This window comes from Homo sapiens, chromosome 2, assembly GCF_000001405.40.
Source record: "Homo sapiens chromosome 2, GRCh38.p14 Primary Assembly".
Classification (NCBI taxonomy): Eukaryota; Metazoa; Chordata; class Mammalia; order Primates; family Hominidae; genus Homo; species Homo sapiens.
The window spans coordinates 99,181,115-99,201,605 of NC_000002.12; the positions used below are offsets into that span (position 1 = coordinate 99,181,115).

Sequence of the window (20,491 nt, forward strand, 5' to 3'; positions counted from 1 at the left end):
GCCGGAACAAAAATGCCTCAGTTTGGAGGTCGCGCTCACTGCGACGGCAGGCTTTGAGTGTAGCACTTGGTAGTTCTTCCTCTGCTCTGCTTCCCTTCGGAGGAAAATTTCAGGCTGAAGGTTTAGCGGGTGCCGGTGAGTGGGGAATGAGTGGCGGAGAGTGCGGCATTCTTCGCAAGGTGTATCCGGGAACCCTCTGCAGATCCTAATTGATTTTCCCTATTGCGTACTGAATTGGCCGGTTACGGCAACCTAAATGGGTCTGCCCCTGATCCCGTCACATTGGCTCCCGTAAGGCCATTGGCCTGCAGGATCCCCCCGTTTCCCAATTTGCAGGATCCAGGGCCACGCGGCTTTTTGTGCCCAGACTCTTGGAGCTCAAGAACGGAGCCGCCGAGGCTGGACAGCTTGGGAAAGGGAACCCAAGCAGCATTTTCTGTGCTGCTGCTTTATTCATAACTTAGGGTTGCCACTGGGTATTAAGGTTGCTTTTTTTTTTTTTTAATGAAGACAGAAAATTGCCTTTATCTTTGTATTGCTTCATTTTATAATGCAAACATCCAAGAGTTGGCAGTTAGAATATTTGCCATTTTATTAAAACTGTGATTTGTTACCATTTTGATCGAGACCTACCAAAAGCTGTTTGTTCTGCCCTTTTTGCCAAGAGGCAGTAATGAGGGCTGCCTACTGCTTGTTAGGCACTAGGAGTTCAGAGAAGAGACACGCTTCCAGCTTTCAGAGATCTCTGGTATCTCTGCAAGAGTGATTCCATGTTTTGCATTTCAGAAGTGTTTTTCCCCCTTTAATAATTGTATACATTGTCGGTTTAGAAAAAGAAATCGATTTTTAACATTCCTGTTGCATGCATGCTCATTGTAAAAAGACAAAAGAACTATCGGTCGCTGGGGGGGAGAAGGGGGAGGAAAAACGCCTTTTTTCATACCCCCAGGGGTATGTTAACGTTTTTCTGACAACCTTCCAGAGTTTTTCTGTGATTACACACGTTCACAGACATTTAAAAAAATAGAAATGGGATCATACTTCTCCTGTGATGCCTGATATTTTCCTGTTTTACAGAAGACAGCGTAATTGTTTCAGGGTCCAGGAGTTACGTGCCTAATTATTAACAGTAACTTTTACTTTATTAAAACGTATTCCTTGCCGGGCGTGGTGGCTCACGCCTGTAATCTCAGCACTTTCGGAGGCCGAGGCGGGAGGATCACGAGGTCAGGAGATCGAGACCATCCTGGCTAACACGGTGAAACCCCGTCTCTACTAAAAATACAAAAAATTAGCCGGGCGTCCGGGCGGGCGCCTGTAGTCCCAGCTACTGGGGAGGCCGAGGCAGGAGAATGGCGTGAACCCGGGAGGCGGAGCTTGCAGTGAACCCAGATCGTGCCACTGCACTCCAGCCTGGGCGACAGAGCGAGACTCCGTCTCAAAAAAATAAATAAGATAAAATAAACGTATTCTTTGAGTCAAACGTGGTGACACACACCTAGCTCCAATTACTGGGAAAATTGAGGATTGCTTGAGGCTGAGTTCAATACCAGAAACATAGCGAGACTCTGTCTCTAAAAACTTGTAACTTTTGACTATCACACCTTCAGAAGTCTGTAAATATTTAAACTTCAGTTATTCTGCAAAAATATATTATATGTCTGCTATAGGGCAGATACCGCTTTACACAGATGTTTGGGATACTTCTATGAATATAACAGACCCAAAACAACAAAATCTAAAAACCCTTTTCCTATGGAATTAGCGTGCTATTGAATGTACATGCACTAAACAACAAAACCTAACAGATAATTAAGTTACGTTAGAAGATAAGCACGATAGAAAGCAGTGAAGAGGAATTGGGAGTGTTGACAGTTGGGGTATGGGTGAAAATGTTAAATGATGTGATCTGGGTTGACCTCATTGAAAAGGTGAGATTTGACCCAAAAATTGAAAAAGATAAGGAAATTAGCCATGTAAATATCAGGATCATTCCAGGAGAGGGAATGGTCAGTCAAAGGGAGCATGCCTGCTTGACTAGTTCTAGATCAAACAAGGGGGGCAGCATGTCTGGTGATTGAGCAAGAGAGTAATTGGAGATGGAGTCCTGGAGGTGGGGAAGGTTGGTAGTGCTGTACTACAAAGACATGAGAGGGTGAGGGTTAAGAATTAGAGTTGGGGGTGGTGGCCCATGCTTGTAACCCCAGCACTTTGGGAGCCCAGGCGGGCGGATCACCTGAGGTCAGGAGTTCAAGAGCAGCCTAGCCAACATGGTGAAACCCCGTCTCCACTAAAAATACAAAAATTAGCTGGACGTGGTGGCAGGTGCCTCTGATCCCAGCTACTCAGCAGGCTGAGGCAGGATAATCGGTTGAACCCAGGAGGCGGAGGTTGCAGTGAGCCAAGATTGGGCCACTGCACTCCAGCCTGGGTGACAAAGCGAGACTCTGTCTCAAAAAAAAAAAAAAAATTGATTTTCACTGTGATCAAAATGGACAAGCATTGGAGGTTTTAATTTTTTCATAAATAAACTTTATTTTTGAATAGTTTTAGATTTTCAAAGAAGTTGTGAAGATGGTATGGAGTTTCTGTATATGCTACACTGTTTCCCCCTTTCATGTTTGGTATACCTGTGTACAGTTGATGAACCAATATTGATACGTTATTAAAGTCCATACTTTATTTAGATTTACTTAGTTTTTGCCAAATGTCCTTTTGCTATTCCAGGATCCCATCCAGGATACCACATTACATTTAATGGTCATGACTTCTTCCTTAGGCTCCTCTTAACTGTGACAGTTTCTCAGACTTTCCTTGTTTTTGATATCATTGACAGTTTTGAGGCAGTTAGGTGTTTGGGAAGATACTGGAAGAGAGTACCTACATAAATTATTTGGAATTCTTCTGAATGGGATATTTGTTCTTTCTCATTAACTTATTCACCTATTTATATTAGTATGAATTTAGGGTTATTTATTTATTTATTTTGGTTTGGATTATAAGCCAGTAATACTTTGTTACTTATTTTGTTGCTGAAATTGTTCCAGCTTTGGGTACAGTTGACTGCAGTGTCACTTTGACATACCCCATCGTTATGTTTTTTCCAGTAGTTCCTTTCTAGCATTACAAAGTGCTCCAGACATAATCAGCCATTTCTCAAAGGAGCACTGGTTCCTTTTATTAAAGAATGCAGCCAAGATCTGGGCACTGGGTGTGCTCCTTGCCACTGAGTGCTAGTGCTTTAAGTCCTCTCAGCTAACAGAGCTAGCCCATGTATATATGCATATCTGTAATTACTTCTATATCCCTCAATAGCTATATTAAGCTAAACATGAGTTCCATTTCCAATCTAGTATATAAGGATCATTGTAGCCTTCCCCTCTTGCTTATATGTAACCTCCCACTTCAACAGTGAGAATCCTGGCTCTCTGGAAGATTTTTGAGCAGAGTGACATGATCTAAGATTTAATGAGATGATTTATTGCTGATATACAAAAAAGATATTAGGGGAATTGGAATGGAAGCAGAAGTCCAGTTAGGATTTTGTTGAGATCTAAGTGATCAGAAAGATTTTTTAAAGTGTGAAGCTAAGTATGTTGGATTAAGTACCTAACCTTGATACGAGGAAGTCTGGTAAAATAATTTAGCATTAGATAGGTTCAGTTGCTGAGGAATGTTTCTGAGGTCTGGCTGTCTTCAGGAGATGTCTTGCGTTGATTCTCACAGTTCCGTTGCTTTATCCACATCACAGGAAAGACTTGCAGAACTTGAATGAGCTAGAATCTGCGGGACACTGAATTACAACACTTAGCCTATTTTAGTGTGTTAGAGCAGAGGTCTCCAAACCCCAGGCCTTAGACCCAGACCATTTGCTGGCCCATTAGGAACCAGATGGCACAGCAGGAGGTGAGCTGTGGTTGAGTGAGCATTACCACCTGAGCTCCACCACCTGTCAGAGCAGTCCAACATTAGATTCTCATAGGAGCGTGAACGCTACTGTGAACTGTGCATGCAAGGGATCTAGATTGCATGCTCCTTATAAGAATCTAATGCCTGATGATCTGAGGTGAACAGTTTCATCCGGAAACCTTCCCTTCCACCCCTCCCTATCTGTGGAAAAATTGTCTTCCATGAAACTGGTCCAGTGTCAGAAAGGTTGGGGACTGCAGTTTTAAGAGTATTCTTATTAGCTTTGTAGTAATTTAATAATAATAAAAGCTACTATTTATTGAGGGCTTCCCACATGCCAGGTACTGTTTTAGGTGCTTTGTAGAATAACTCATTTGCAAGACAGGTATTTTCTTTCTTTTCTGGGGGAAAAATTGTAACGCACGAATTAAGTAACCTGTCCGAGATATACATGTAGTTCATGAACTTAATCTTTCTGCTATCAGTATAAGTCAGTATAGTAGGCTACAGTTGTTTTGTGTGTAATTAAATAAATATGACCTTTTTAGGTTATAGAAGCAATGCGTGTGCATTGAGAATAGTTTAAAAAGTACAAACAAGCAAAAAAAATTCTACTTTTTAACAGAAAGGTGTTATGATTTAGTGAAAATGCACTTGCCTAGGAATTAGGAGAATGGGGTTCCAGACCACAAACTTTATTGATAGCTGGATGCACTTGGATAAGTTATTGAACTTTCTGGAATTCATGATCCTCATTCATAAAGTAAGGATGTGGGCAGTCAGTTCTAATTATAGGAGTTGGAATTTCTTCAGTCCCTTCTAGCTCTTTAATTTTCTGTGATTCTATGGCAAAGCATTCTTTATCTGCCTTCATTGTTGAAGAAGACACTTTAAATGATAGTAATTTTGTGGAATCAATCTAGGACTGACTCATTTGATGAAAGTGGGATGTGGCTAATGTGTATAATTACTACCTGTGGTTGAATAAAACATTTATAAATTAATTCGTGCCCTTATTATATTAAAATAACCAATAATTTTACTGTTAAGTTTACAATTAATTTGCTGCTTAGTTTTTTAATACTAGAGAAGGGGAAACCTGTTCATTTCCAAGACATAGTTGACTGATGGGTCTACTTCCTACTTCCCACAGCCTCTAAAGAGAGCAATCACTACACTTATGGCTGGGATTTTGCGCTTAGTAGTTCAATGGCCCCCAGGCAGACTACAGGTAAGTGTTTCTTTTCAAGAATTTGTCTTTTCTACCCCTTATGAATTTTTTTTTTAATCATTACAAGGCAAGCTAAGTTCTTTTTTTTATTTTTTTGAGACGAAGTCTCTCTCTGTCACCCAGGCTGGAGTGCAGTGGCACAATCTGGGCTCACTGTAGTCTCTGCCTCCCTGATTCAAGCAATTCTCCTGCCTCAGCCTCCTGAGTAGCTGGGACTACAGGTGTCTGCCACTATGCCTGGCTAATTTTTGTATTTTTCATATAGTCGGGGGTTTCACCATATTGGCCAGGCTGGTCTCCAACTCCTGACCTTGTGATCCACCTGCCCCGGCCACCCAAAATTAAGTTATTTCACCAGTTCCTTTTCGAAATGGTTTAGATATTGAGAGTTAATCTTGTTTATGTATGGTTTTTCTGCTGTTTTATCCCTAAAGATCTAGAATCAAAAAAGATCTTTTTCTGGAAAACATGCCAATAAAAAATGGCTGTCATTGATTCCCCTTGGTCTGTCTTAATCTTAAAGTTTTAGGTTGTTTTTCCCCTTAGATTATGGAAGGAGTGCATTTTCAATAATAAAATATTAGAAAAATATAGAAAATCAGAAGGAAGAGAAATAATCTGTAAGAGACCCTCAGTGTTAGTATTTTCATGTGTCTCCTTCTAGGCTTGCTTTTAGAAAGTGCAGTGGTGCTGCCTAATCTGCTCATAAGGGCCAGAGCCTAGATGAGCCTATTGACCTGCTCCTGGCTGCAGAGGACAACAATGTAAGGGGCTTTGTATATATTACCTTAACCTCAGATTAATCCTGTGAGGTCAATATGAGTTCCTTTTTAGAGCTGAGGAAACTGACCCTCTGAGAGAGTAAGTGTCTCATGTCTCACAGCTGGTAGGCAGCAGAACTCAGCCCAGTGCCTGTCTTCTAGTGGTTTATGCCATCTCTGCAATGCAGGAAATGCTGGGAGGGAATGATGGGAATGACTGTTGCCCATTCCCACAGCAGTATCCTGGTATGAAAGGTTGGCAGTGAATCCTTTTTCTTCAGCAGCCTGAGAGAAATGGGATTGGAGGAATGTAGAGCAGGAACAAGAGGTAGGAACTAGGAGTGATGACATTGTTAGAACTAGGAGGGAAACTAGAAACTCATTTTGGATTTCTTTTGTATTGTCTTGTTAAATGTGAGTTATTGCACATTGTCTAGAGCAAGAGTTGATAAACTATGGCCTTTAGGCCAAATTCAGCCTCCCACCTATTTTTGTAAATAACAGTTTTATTGAAAAATATCCACACCCGGCTGGGCGCGGTGGCTCACGCTTGTAATCCCAGCACGTTGGGAGGCCAAGGTGGACGGATCACGAGGTCAGGAGATCGAGACCATCCTGGCTAACACGGTGAAACCCTATCTCTACTAAAAATACAAAAAAAAATTAGCTGGACGTGGTGGTGGGCGCCTGTAGTCCCAGCTATTCAGAAGGCTGAGGCAAGAGAATGGCGTGAACCCAGGAGGCAGAGGTTGCAGTGAGCCGAGATTGCGCCAGTGCAGTCCAGCCTGGGTGACAGAGCGAGACTCCGTCTCAAAAAAAAAAAAAGAAAAGTTTGCATATTGTCTGACTGCTTTTACCCTGTGATGGCCAAGCTGAGTTTTGGCAATGGAGACTACATAGCTCTAGAGCTGGAAATGTTTACTATCTGGTCCTTTACAGAAAACGGTTACCAATCCGTGGTCTAAAAGTATATTTATATGCTTTTAGCTTTATATTATGTTAGTGCTTAGATGGGATGCGTTCACTCAGCTAGGGAGCTAAGATATACCTTTAATAATTATAGGGTAGGTTGGAACAGACTTCTGTTACCTAAAGATTGGTGGGTATGGATTTCTCTACTGACAGAATTCTAAAAAACAAATGATTTATATCATATTTTAGACTGTGACAAAAGGTGTGGAGTCTCTTATTTGTACAGATTGGATTCGTCACAAATTCACCAGATCAAGAATTCCAGAAAAAGTAAGAACAAAGTTTGATTTTTTTAATGTTAGTGTTGTTTTAAAAAATGTTTTAAGTGGTACCCGTTTTTGTAATATTGGAAGATTTTATGTTAAATTATATGTGGATGTAGGTGATGGTACAGAGTTTAAAGCATAGTGGGATTTATGTGAATGGTGATCATAAAAATAAAACTGTTCTGTCACTTGTGTCACTGGCCTTCACAGTAATGGGTTTTTATTATTTCAGTCTACTTATTCCTGCTTGTGGTTTGTACATGTGTGTTGGTATCACCATTGTCCTGAGAAAGCAGTGGGTCTTCCTACTCAGGCTCTCACTGTGTCACTCTTCATTTTCACTTTCCGTATCGATCATTGTTACTTTGGATCTTTCAGCTTTTTCTATTTCATTTCTGTGTACCTATCATTCTTTTAGATAATATTGACTAAGCCCGCCATTGATTTTTGTTTAAAATTTTTTTTTAAAGAGAGTTTTGCTTTGTTGCCCAGGCTGGAGTGCAGTGGTGCAATCTCATCTCACTGCAACCTCCGTCTCCCGGGTTCAAACAGTTTTTGTGCCTCAGCCTCCAGAGTATCTGGGACCACAGGCCCGTGCCACCACACCCGGCTAATTTTTGTATTTTTAGTAGAGATGGGGTTTCATCATGTTGCCCAGGCTGGTCTTGCACTACTGATCTCAAGTGATCCACCCGCCTTGGCCTCCCAAAGTGCTGGGATTACAGGCGCCTGGCCTGTTTTTATTTGTTTTTTAATTAATAGTCTTTATTTCTTAAAGCAGTTTTAGGTTTGCAGAAACATTGATTGGGAAGTATGGAGAGTTCCTATGTGCTCCCTCCGCCCAGCATATACAGTGTCCCCCACAACTGATGAACCAACGGGACACAGTATTATTAACTAAATACCATAGTTTACACTAGTGTTCAGTCTTCATGTTGTGAAGTTCTATGGGTTTTGACAAATGCATAATGTCATGTATCCACTATTACAGTATTATACAGAATAGTTTCACTGCCCTAAGTATCACCTGTGGTTCACCTATTTATCCTTCCCAACTCCTAACCCCTGGCAAGCACTGATCTTTTTATTATCTCCATAGTTTTGCCTTTTCTAGAATGTAATATAGCTGAAATCATATGGTATGTAGCCCTTTCAAACTGGCTTCTTTCTCTTAGCAATATACCTGTAAGGTTCCTCCATGTCTTTTTGTGGCTTGCTTGCTTATTTTTTATTGCTGAATAATATCCCATTGCATAGACATACACAGTTTATGTGTGCATTCATCTATGGAAAAACATCTTGGTTGCTTCTAGTTTTGGACAGTAATGAACAAAGCTGCTATAAACATTCATGTATAGATTTTTGTGTGGACATAAATTTCCAACTCATGAGTTAAATACCTGGAGCATAATTGCTGGATTGTATGGTAAAGACTACATTTAGCTTTGTAAAGCCTGGGTTTTTTGTTTATTTGTTTTGGGTGGGGGGTTCCTAATATTTTTTATTGTGGTAAAATACACATATAACATTTACCATCTTAACCACTTTTAAGTGTGCTATTCAATGGCATTAAGTACATTGACACTGTTGTGCAACTATTACAACCATCCATCTCCAGAACTCTTTTCATCTTGCAAAACTGAAACTCTATATCCACTAAATAATAACTGCCAACCTAGGCAACATAAGGAGACCCAGTCTCTACCAAAAAAAAAAAAAAAATTAGATGGGTGTTGTGGTACACACCTGTAGTCCTAGCTACTCAGGAGGCTGAGCGGGGAGGATTGCTCAATCTCAAGAGGTTAAGGCTGCAGTGACCTATAATTGTGCCACTGCACTCCAGCCTGGACAACAGAGCAAGATCCTGTCTCAAAAATTAATAATAATAGTAACTCCCCATTTTCCCCTCTCCCTAGCTTCTGGTGACTACCATTCTCCATTGATTTTCTTAAAAGATAAAACAGTATTACCATTGACTACTTTGATACCTTTAATGTGCTTGGTGTTCTTTTATCAGAAATCTCATCCAGGTACAATGGTTCACACCTGTATTCCTAGCATTTTGGGAGGCTGAGGCAGGAGGATCTTTTGAGTCCAGGAATTCAAGACCAGCCTGGGCAACATAGTGAGACTCTGTATCTACAAAAAATTTAAAAATTAGCTAGGTGTGGTGGTGCATGCCTGCAGGCCCAACTGCTCAGGAGGCTGAGATGAGAGGATCACTTTAGCAAGAGGTCAAGGGTGTAGTGAGCCATGATCGGATCAGTGCACTCCAGCCTGGGCAACAGAGTGAGACCTTGTCTCAAAACAAAATAAAGAAATCTTTTTTATTTTTCAAGTCATTGTCTTTCCACTGCTATTCTTTCCACAACTATATTGTCTTATATCTTTCCATGTTTCTTACTCTGTATTTCTGGAAGGATAGATACAAATGTTGGCATTCATTTAAAATATGCAAGGCTAGGCACAGGCAGGAGAATAACACACACTGGGGCCTGTAGGGGGCGAGTGGAGGGAGACCACCAGGAAAAATAGCTAATGCATACTGGGCTTCATACCTAGGTGATGGGTTGATAAGTGTAGCAAATAGTGCAGCAGATTGCCATGGCACATGTTTACCTATGTAACAAACCTGCACATCCTATATTTGTGCCCTGGAACTTTAAATAAAATAAATGTGCAAGGCAGTGGTTTTGATCATCAACTGTGATAAATATGAAAACCTTTAAACCTCATGAAAATAGCCCCTGACTATCTTTTTTTTTTTTTTTGGAGACGGAGTCTCGCTCTGTCTCCAGGCTGGAGTGTGGTGGCGTGGTCTCGGCTCACTGCAACCTCCATCTCCCGGGTTCAAGCAATTCTCCTGCCTCAGCCTCCCAAGTAGCTGGGATTACAGGCATGTGCCACCACACCCAGCTAATTTTTGTATTTTTAGTAGAGACAGGGTTTCACCATGCTGGCCAGGATGGTCTTGATCTCCTGACCTCGTGATCCACCCCCCTTGGCCTCCCAAAGTGCTGGAATTACAGGCGTGAGCAACCACGCCTGGCCCCTGCCTATCGTCTGAACTTATTCCTGTATTCTCCTGTATTCTCAACTGGTTTCTAGACATTGCTACTTGGATAACTTATAGGTATTTCAAGTTCATATCCAAAATTCAACTCATCTTACTTTCCCTCCAAACAACCAAATAAAAAAGAGGGTGCGTCTCTTGTATTAGTTATGTCAGTTAATGCTACCATCCTCTATCTAATTTCCCAGACTAAAGACATCTGAATCAAGCTCAGCCTCCCTCTTCTTCACCCAACACAAATCCATCTATATTACTGCCCAGAGTTCCCATATCAGTCCTTTTTCTGTTACAGCTACTGTAGTTCAGGCTCTTAAACCATGGTCATAAGTGCCTCCTAACTGGGTTTCCTTGTATCAGTCTCTATCCCCAGTTGGTTTTATTCTTAGGTAAGAGTTTTCTTTGCAAATCTCATAGAAACATGGTCCTATTGGTTCTAACCTTCATTAACTCTGTATCCCCAGCGGTAATTTCTAAAGGCTCAACATAGTCGCGCATAGTTTAACTTCATCCTCTGCATTACTTTTCGTGCTTTTTTCTATATTAGCCACCCTGAACCACTTGCCTTTCCAAAATATTTTGTGCTCCTTCATACTGTTCCTTTAAATATTCTCACCTTTCTTTAGTGCACCTACCCCTTCCTCTGATCTCCACCATCCTTCTCATCCTAATCTCTTCAAAATCTCTAGAAAAATATAAACAAGCAAAACTCACCAAAAAATACTCTTAATCTTACCCACCCCGAGATAACTGCTGCCAACTCCTTCCACATCCTTCTTTGTTGTATGTTTTATTTTTTTCTTTTAGACTAGTCAAGTGCAGTAATGAGGAGGAAAGAGTAGAATACGGAGTTCAATCTGTGTTGTGTGTTTTAAGATGTGATTCATCTCATATGAATCAATGCTTCTCTAGCTGCTCTCTCTGTTTAGTAATATAATATGAACCTCTCACTGTATACATTTTTTTTTAAGTTCCGGTATACACGTGCAGATTTGTCACATAGGTATATATGTGCCATGGTGGTTTGCTGCACCTATCAACCCGTCATCTAGGTTTTAAGCCCTACATGCATTAGGTGTTTGTCCTAATGGTCTCCCTTTGCCCCCGACTCCCCGTGTGTTCTCATTGCTCAACTCCCACTTATGAGTGAGAACATGCGGTATTTGGTTTTCTGTTCCTGTATTAGTTTGCTGAGGATGATGGCATCCAGCTTCATCCATGTCCCTGCAAAGGACATGACATCATTCCTTTTTATGGCTGCATAGTATTCCATGGTGTATATGTACCACATTTTCTTTATCCAGTCTATCATTGATGGGCATTTGGGTTGGTTCCATGTCTTTGCTATTGTAAGTACTGCTTCAATAAACATACATGTGCATGTGTCTTTATAGTAGAATGATTTATATTCCTTTGGGTATATACCCAGTAATGGGATTGCTGAGTCCAATGGTATTTCTGGTTCTAGATCCTTGAGGAATCACCACACTGTCTTCCACAATGGTTGAACTAATTTACATTCCCACCAATAGTGCAAAACCATAAAAACCTCAGAAGAAAACCTAGGCAATACCATTCAGGACATAGGCATGGGCAAAGCCTTCATGACTAAAACACCAAAAGCAATTGCAACAAAAGCCAAAATTGACAAATGGGATCTAATTAAACTAAAGAGCTTCTGCACAGCAAAAGAAACTCGCATCAGAGTGAGCAGGCAACCTACAGAATGGGAGAAAAATTTTGCAATCTACCCATCTGACAAAGGTCTAATATCCAGAATCTACAAGGAACTTAAATTTACAAGAAAAAAACAAACAATCCCATCAAAAAGTGGGCAAAGGAAATGAACAGACACTTCTCAAAAGAAGATATTTATGTGGCCAAGAAACATATGAAAAAAAGCTCATCATCACTGATCATTAGAGAAATGCAAATCAAAACCACAATGAGATACTACCTCATGCCAGTCAGAGTGACGATTATTAAAAAGTCAAGAAACAATAGATGCTGGCAAGGCTGTGGAGAAATAAGAACGCTTTTACACTGTTTACATTTCTACAAAACTGTTTTTAATCATGAATGATATTCTTTTTTATTAAAATACCATCTTTTTGGGGGTCAATTTTTTTTCTAAATCTGCTTCCCCAGAGCTATGACTCTTGATCTAATGTCTTTGAGACCTTTATATATATTTTATATGAGTCTTAGAAACAGTATTTATAGAATATATCACATATGCACACTCATGTATTTGGTACAGATGATGCACATAACAGCTTACAACACATAATTGTGTGGACATTTCTTTTTGGTTTTTGGCTCAAGAATATATTATGGCCATCATTCAATGTGAAGACCTGCAAAGATAGTAAACCTCATTCATTTTAATGGTAGTATTGTATCCTATAGGATACATCAGAATTTGTGTATTTGCGCCAGGCGTGGTGGTTCACACCTGTAATCCTAGCACTTTGGGAGGCCAAGGCGGGCGGATCACAAGGTCAGGAGTTCGAGACCAGCCTGGCCAACATGGTGAGACCCCCATCTCTACCAAAAATAGAAAAATTAGCTGGGCACGGTGGTGTGCGCCTGTAATCCCAGCTACTCGTGAGGCTGAAGCAAGAGAATCGCTTGAACCTTGGGGGCAGAGGTTGCAGTGAGCCAAGATCGTGCCATTGCACTCCAGCCTGGGCGATAGAGCAAGACTCCATCTCAAAAAAAAAAAAAAAGAATTTGTGTATTTGTATCATTTTACTTAGTTTTATTATTAATCATTTTATTTAGAATGGATGCATCATAATGTAGTTATCATGGTGAGGAACACGGGTTGCCTTTAAACTTTTCAGTGTTACACATAGTGTTAGAATACACATCCTTATTCGGTATATTTTGTATACTTAGAGGAGTGTTTCTGTGGGATAGTTTCTTAGAACCTTTTGATTCTTAGATAATTAATTCAAGTATTAGCTCTGTGGAGCTGTTTCTGATCGCTCATAGGCAGAGTTCATTAGTCATTTGCCTGTATTCTCATAATACTTTGTAGATTCTTTTTATAATACTTATGTTTTATTTTCATTTTTAATTTACATGTTTGTTTTCCCACTTGATAGTCAGCTCTTCACCTGAGAATAGGGAGGGAAGAGGATGCAGCCCAGTGCCCAGCTCATAGCAGTGCTTACAGATTCTCCTGACATTTAAATTATTTAGTGTTGTCTGGTTGCTCCTGCTTTGTTCTACAGGTTAAACTCCATCTATCTGCATAATCAGATTGATAGAAATGTTCAATCTGAGGTTGAGGATTACATGATGATTAAGGATGAGGTAATTATGTAGTTGTGTATGTGTGTGTGTCTTTTAAGAAAAAATGGGAGGTACACAGAAACTGTGTAAGTTGGAAATTTACCATTTATAATTCTTTCCTTTCTAGGTGTTTCAGGCCTCACCTGAAGATCATGAAAAATACGGTGGGGATCCACAGAACCCTCATAAACTGCATATTGTTACCAGAATAAAAAGTACAAGAAGACGTCCATATTGGGAAAAAGATATAATAAAGATGCTTGGATTAGAAAAAGTATGCAATTATTTTAATCATCTTTAGTGTTGTTTACATTGCTTTAAATTTTATACTTTTAAAACTTTGCGGTATACATTTATTATTTATTTTGTATTACTTAGGGTAATTTATTTATAAATTTGGCTTAGAATGAACCTTCAATTTAACATTTTACTGAAACATGGAACTATCTGCTTTTCAGATTGATAACGTTGCTTTGTTGTTGTTGTTCACAGGCACATACCCCTCAAGTTCACAAGAATATCCCTTCAGTGAATGCAAAATTGAAAGTAGTTAAGCATTTGATAAGGTTTGTTGTTTCTTCTCAGCTCTTTTTAAAATGTATTGCCTAGTGTAATTCTAAATGCATTTTTCTTTTTTCGTTAATGTTCTGAAAAAAACTTTTTAAAAAACTAAAATTTTATTTTGTTTTTTTTTAATTGACACATAATAATTGTACATATTTATGGGGTACATAGTGACGTTTCAATATATATAAAGTATAGTGATCCGATCAGGGTAATTGGCATATCCATCATCTCAGACATTTACCATTTCTTCATGTTGGGAACATTCAACATCCTCCTCCTAGCTATTTGAAACTATGTGTTATTGTTAACTGTAGTTATCCTGCGGGGATATAGAACGCTAGAACGTATTCCTCCTATCTAAACGCATTTTCTTGTGTCACAGAATCAAGCCCTTGAAGTTGCCACAAGGACTTCCAGCAGAGGAGAACATGTCTAACACGTGCCTCAAAAGCACTGGGGAGTTAGTAGTGCAGTGGCATCTGAAACCTGTGGAGCAGAAAGCACATGAGTCCTAATGCCCCAGCAGCTTCCGATTGGAAAATGCAAATTGTTTTTATTTAAAGATGGTGAGAAAGTGTTTTCATTAAAATATGTTTTCAAAACCATTTTCAGGCCGGGCACGGTGGCTCACCTGTAATCCCAGCACTTTGGGAGGCCAAGGCGGGCAGATCACCTGAGGTCAAGAGTTCGAGACCAGCCTGACCAACATGGAGAAACCCCCATCTCTACTGAAAATACAGAATTAGCCAGGCATGGTGGCACATGCCTGTAACCCAGCTACTCGGGAGGCTGAAGCAGGAGAATCACTTGAACCCGGGAGGCAGAGGTTGCAGTGAGCTGAGATGGTGCCACTGTACTCCAGCCTGGGTGATAGGATGAGACTCCATCTCAGGGGAAAAAAAAAAATTTTTTTTTCACTGACTAAACCTGCTGCAGCTCTCTTTTACTACAGACTTGGAGATTTTAGTTTAATTTGGTTTAATTCTCTGTCCTTTCCCTTTCACTGTTTCACTCCAAAACATGTAAGAATGGCAATGTTTGAACATCTGCGTTTGGGTCTACTGCCACCTTAGCAAGCCTCATTAACCATTTTATAAAAATTGCGTTAGTATTGTTGTTGTTGTTTTTGAGACAGGGTCTTGCTCTGTCACCCAAGCTGGAATACAGTGGCATGATTTCAGTTCACTGCAGCCTCGACCTCCCAGGCTCAAGTGATCCTCCCACCTCAGCCTCCAGAGTAGCTAGGACTACAGGCAGTGTGCCACCACATCCAGCTAATTTTTTAAAGTTTTTTCATAGAGACAGGGACTCACTATGTTGTCCAAGCTGGTCTCAAACTCCTGGGTTCAAGCCATCCTCCCACCTCAGCCTCCCAAAATGCTGGGATTACAGGCATGAGCCACTGTACCCAGCCAAAATTGTTTTCTTTTTTAAGTGAATTCAACAATTTCTGTGAGTGGCTCTTTGCATGAACACTGTGCAAGGTGTTGGAGAAATCCAAAGCTGACCAAAACATGGTCCCCACCTTTTGGAGCTTACAGTCTGTTCTGGGGAACAGAGATTCAGCCAAAGTCAAGAAACACTGGATGCCAGCTAGATTATCTGTTCTGTGCTTTGGTGTCTATAAGTACATATGTGGATATGGGTTCATTTTATCCCTAAACTTAGTACCAAACCAGCATTTAATATCTAATTATAAATCTAATTTGGCCTAAACTTTATTATTGCACACTGCCTGAACAAAACCTATTTGTCTCTATGTAAATTTTTTCCTCATGGAACAAGGGTGTGAAATGAAAATATTTTAGGATTTATTCAAAAACAGACTATTCTGTTTTCAGCTTCAGAATTGTTCTTTGAATCCTAAGGAACCTCTGTCAACAGTTGAGGTTGCTGTTGAAAAGAAAGAAGAAGGAGGCGGAAATCTCTCAGGGAGAATTATTTCCTTTCTTTTCTATTTTAGATACCTGGAGGGGTGGGGAGAAGTAAGAATTGTAAGGGAGGTTCAGTAGTGGGGAATTCTGTGACAGCTGATTGAAGATGATGATGAAGAACCTCTGCATTCTAGTTACCCTTTGCTTCCCTTCACCTCTTGTAAAATTTGGCTTGGCAACAATGACATTGTCATGCTTATTGTCCCAATATCCATCCTGTCGTAGATCTTAATGTTTTTGATCGTTGCGTTAAAGTGGAAGTGCCACCCACAGTGAAACCAGATCCCATTAATAAATAAGCTTAAAGGCAACTGCAGTTTTAATTCCATAGTTATTGAATATCCAGTGTGTGTAAGGCCTGGAGGGGAGCCAAAGGACACTAACTTCTAAGAGCTCCGTCTAGTTGGAGAGAAACCTGTGTGCCACAACATACAGTGTCCTTGCTTATGTGGGGTCGAAGACATCTGTGAAAATAAAAGCAGCCTCTGCTAATTTAGCGCCATCTCTTTTACTGTGCTAATTTTTTTTTCTTTAGAGACAGGGTCTCACTCTGTCGCCCAGCCTGGAGGGCAGTGGTGTGATCGTAGCTCACTATTACCTCCAACTCTTGGGCTCAAGTGATCCTCCCACCTCAGCCTCCTGAGCAGCTAGGACTACAGATACATGCCACCGCTCCCGGCTAGTATTTTTTAAAATTTTTTGTAGAGCCAAGTGTTGCTATGTTGTCCACACTGATCTGGAGCTTCTAATCTCAAATGATTCTCCTGCCTCAGCCTCCCAAAGTGCTGGGAATACAGGTGTGAGCCACCATACCTGGCCTTACTGTACTAATATTAATATTGTGTAAATAGGGGAAAATACCATGGTTAATTTTTACTCAAACAGTAAGAAAGTTTGAGTAACTAATTTTAATCTCAACAGCCCATAGCTAGAAGAGGGGATCTAAATGTTAAGTTGAATATTTAGAAATAAAAGTGTCTACAAGAAGAAAAGTCTTTAGTGAAAATATGGGCATAGGCCAGCAGCATTAGCTTTCTATTGCTGCAGAACAAATTACCACAAACTTAGCTGCTTAAAACAACACACACTTATTGTCTCACAATGTTTGTGGGTCGGAAGTCTAGGCGTGGCTTAGCTGGGTAGTCTGTTTAGGATCTCAGTGCTGGAAAAACGTGTCTGGCCAGGTGCTCATTGTAGCTTTGACAGGGAAGGGATCTGCTCCCAAGCACTCTCAGGTTGTTGGCAGAATTTGTTTCCTTATGGCTGTAGGATTCATGGCAAGTTGCTTCTTCCAAAACCAGCATTGGAGACAGACTAGCAAGATGGGCACTACACTCTTAGATAATCAAATAAATGCAATCATGTGCCTCGTGTCACCTTTTTTGCATTCCATTCATTAAGAACAAGTTGCAGTTCCTACCTACACTCAAGGAAGGGAGGAATTACACAGAAGTGTGACCACAGGAGGCAGGGCTCATGGAGGCCTCCTTAAAGTCCCCCAGCCAAACCTGAAAAGTCAATCCTGGACCTTATCATAGTGGCTGTATAGTTTAGAAGGTTTCTTCAGATTGGCATTCCTTTGCCTCATATCATCACTTCAAAACCCTATAAGGGTTTGTTCCTCGGTCTTGACTTTGTGTCTTTGAGGATTGCTTTGTTTAGTGTCACCTGCCTTCTTTCAGGAGGTTTTGCCTGACATCTGGTGGTGACCGTGGCCACCAAGTCAACCCAAACACTACCTTTAAGGACGACTGCAGTTCTCTTAGGGTCTCCTCAATCTAAAATTGTACCTCTTTCAGGCCAAACACCTATTTTCTTCATTTTTTTTTTCTCATAAGAATGCTAGCTAGTATGCCTATTATCTAACTGGCACAGTTTCACCAAGGACAGTTTGGAACTACACAGGCCATTTTAGGGAGATTTTGACATGAACAAGATTGCTTCTTTGGGAGGTACCTTAAAATGAAAAGCAAAGAAACTTCCATGCGGAGATTGTCTTGTTTTTCTCAAAATGGGATAATTTTGCTTAACATAAGTAGTATCCCTTCCTTCCTTTCCATACTTTGAGAATTAATAAGGACTAGCTTTTTGATCACACAGCTTGATAAAATTTTCAAGGGTCCAAATTACTGTCTAAACCATTTGCCACTCTTTGTGTATATTTGTCAAAATCTGCTTTTCTATATCAAAACTTTTCTCTCAAGACCTGAGGGAATTAATTAATAAGGAATCCTTGGAACACTGGAAATTCTAAAATAAGAGTCAGATACAAAACACTGGTCACTAAAATTCTTACCTTTATGTATTAGAATGGCAATCAATGAACAAACTGAAAATGTCTTTGGATATTATTTCTGTTTATTTTTTGCCTCAAAATTATTAAATGACATGAAATAAGTGCTCAAGAAGAAAAATAAACAATTCTTCATTTCCTGTTCTCTAGTTTTCCGTATTACCTGGAAAAAAGAAAATTTGTTGGTCACTTTAAAGATAATATAAACAGCTGAACATGGTGCACACCCCGACTCCCCACCCCACTCCCATGCCTGTAATCCTAGCGCTTTGGGATGGCAAGATGGATCACTTGAGTCTAGGAGTTTGAGGCTGTGATGAACTATGATTGCACCACTGCACTCCAGCCTAGGCAACAGGGCGAGATCCTGTCTCAAAAAAGAAAAAAGAAAAACAGAGCGGTACAATTACTGTCTCCCAAAAGATTATTTCCATTATTCTAGATTCACCAGTCCTCCATACCTCTTTTCTTTTTATTATAAAGCTGAACAGGCACTAGGGTACTGATTGAACTAAGTGGAAATCACCAGGGGTCCATTGCTTATTTCGTAAGATCCAGTAGCCAAGACATACTCACCCCATCTGAGAACTATAGCAGTAGCAATAAAAGTGAAAACTTCAGTTGATTTAGTTCCAGGGTTTCCACTAAACTTGACAGCTTCCCATGCTGTGCTGTACAGGGTCTTCTACTGACAGTAAACTCGCAGGATTTTTCAGCTACTTACCTAGTCTCCCATGAATTTTGTTGCTTTGCTTTTACACATCACTGGCCTATATTACAACACTCTAAACTCAGCCACTTCCTTCACCCAAAAAAGCAACCGCCCATAATTGCTTACCCCTCTTAGGGAACGATCCATACCCTGCACAGACTTAGAGATTCCCTTGGAGAACTGATTTAATTGTGGTTTTAGATTATTCACACTTAAAAAGTGAAACTAAAAATTGCCAAGTACAGTCAGGCGTGGTGGCTCATGCCTGTAATCCCAGCAACTTGGGAGGCTGAGGTGGGGGGATGGCTTGAGGCCAGGAGTTTGAGACCAGCCTGGGCAACATAGTGAGACCCCATGTCTAAAACAACAAAACAAAAAATTTTAACTTAGCTGGGTGTGGTAGCACATGCCTGTAGTCCCAGCTGCTGAGGAGACTGAGGTGGGAGGATTGCTTCAGCCTGGGATTTCAAGGCTGCAGTGAGCTATGATTGTGCCACTGCACTACAGCCTGGGCGACAGACTCCCCTGGGGTGGGGCGGGGGGGAATGCTATGTAGACTATCATCATAGTCAAAGCTTTTCTCAGAAATCGTATTCATTTAGTTTGGCTAAATTAATTGCCCCCTCCCAGATCTGCCAAGTTACAAAAGTAAATATTTATATTGATACAATAGGAGGTATTTGATGTGGGGGTAGTGTATGACTTTGCAATGCTTTAGAAACAACAACAAAAATCACCTGACCACTACAGGAACCCCTGTAGAATTGACAATGAATTAAAGAGCCTTGACATGCTTTGCTGTTATGGAAGGAGATGGCCATAAGAAAAATGGAAATTAGCAAAACTATTTTGTGATATTACCCACAATAGCAGAGAAGAATTGGCAAAAGTATTGAACCAAGATTGATAGGGTAATTTAAGCATATTGCTGAGGATGTTTTGAATGTGTGTCCCACCTGCCAGTGACATAATCCTGACAAGATCGTTATAACAGGACCTAGGAATCTTGAGGCCCATTGAACACCTTGATTTTCTATCAGCTAGCCAAGGAGGACTTGATACTATCACAAACATTTCTTGCTGTACTTACACACTACAGGGCAAGCAAAACAGAAAATATTAAGATAAACAAAAAAGCCACCTGACTCCCTAAAAGACCCATCTGGATTCTGGGACATGTTTCTTCACCTGGGTTTTATAATCTGGTATCCCAGCATTAAGACCCGTTATAAGACTCATCATCCTTTTGTTTCTGGTAATGGCCTGTTACAGTTGGTTGATGTACACTGTCCAAAATCTGGAATGCTGCTCTGTACCCACTGTCAAGTCAAAGGTCTCAACAGCTCATCCTGCAACAGGAGAAGGGATTAGCTCTAGCCCAACTACAGACCATGCTTCCGGGACATCCTCCTGGTCTTGACAGTGGTGAAAATCTGGATGTCATGAATTCTGTGGCCTGACTTCACCTGCCCTTGA

General features: G+C 40.5%; 1 protein-coding gene across 2 annotated transcripts, besides 2 other annotated features; it reads left to right on the top strand.

Annotated features, from left to right (window-relative positions):
- Positions 12 to 61: an enhancer, noted in NCBI's record as "active region_16280". NCBI's record gives its function as "activates an Ori minimal core promoter by ATAC-STARR-seq in GM12878 lymphoblastoid cells {active_cell/tissue: GM12878}" and the evidence as "EXISTENCE:reporter gene assay evidence [ECO:0000049][PMID:35858748]".
- On the top strand, positions 70 to 18,447 carry MRPL30 (mitochondrial ribosomal protein L30). 2 transcript variants are annotated; one of them, NR_028356.2, is made up of 7 exons: positions 70 to 135; positions 5,063 to 5,140; positions 7,063 to 7,143; positions 13,637 to 13,783; positions 14,002 to 14,075; positions 14,459 to 14,642; positions 16,040 to 18,447. NR_028356.2 is itself a non-coding variant. In NM_145212.4 (6 exons), the coding sequence occupies exons 2-6, from the start codon at positions 5,090 to 5,092 to the stop codon at positions 14,589 to 14,591; spliced, it is 486 nt and encodes a 161-aa protein (NP_660213.1). In that variant the 5' UTR covers positions 70 to 135; positions 5,063 to 5,089; the 3' UTR covers positions 14,592 to 18,447. The 2 variants fall into 2 exon arrangements, 1 of the variants encoding a protein (NP_660213.1); NM_145212.4 differs by having other exon boundaries at positions 14,459 to 18,447.
- Positions 279 to 451: a silencer, noted in NCBI's record as "fragment chr2:99797856-99798028 (GRCh37/hg19 assembly coordinates)". NCBI's record gives its function as "represses an EF-1alpha promoter that drives an FKBP-Casp9 reporter gene in an ReSE screen in K562 erythroleukemia cells {active_cell/tissue: K562}" and the evidence as "EXISTENCE:reporter gene assay evidence [ECO:0000049][PMID:32094911]".
- Positions 18,448 to 20,491: the final 2,044 nt, after the last annotated feature.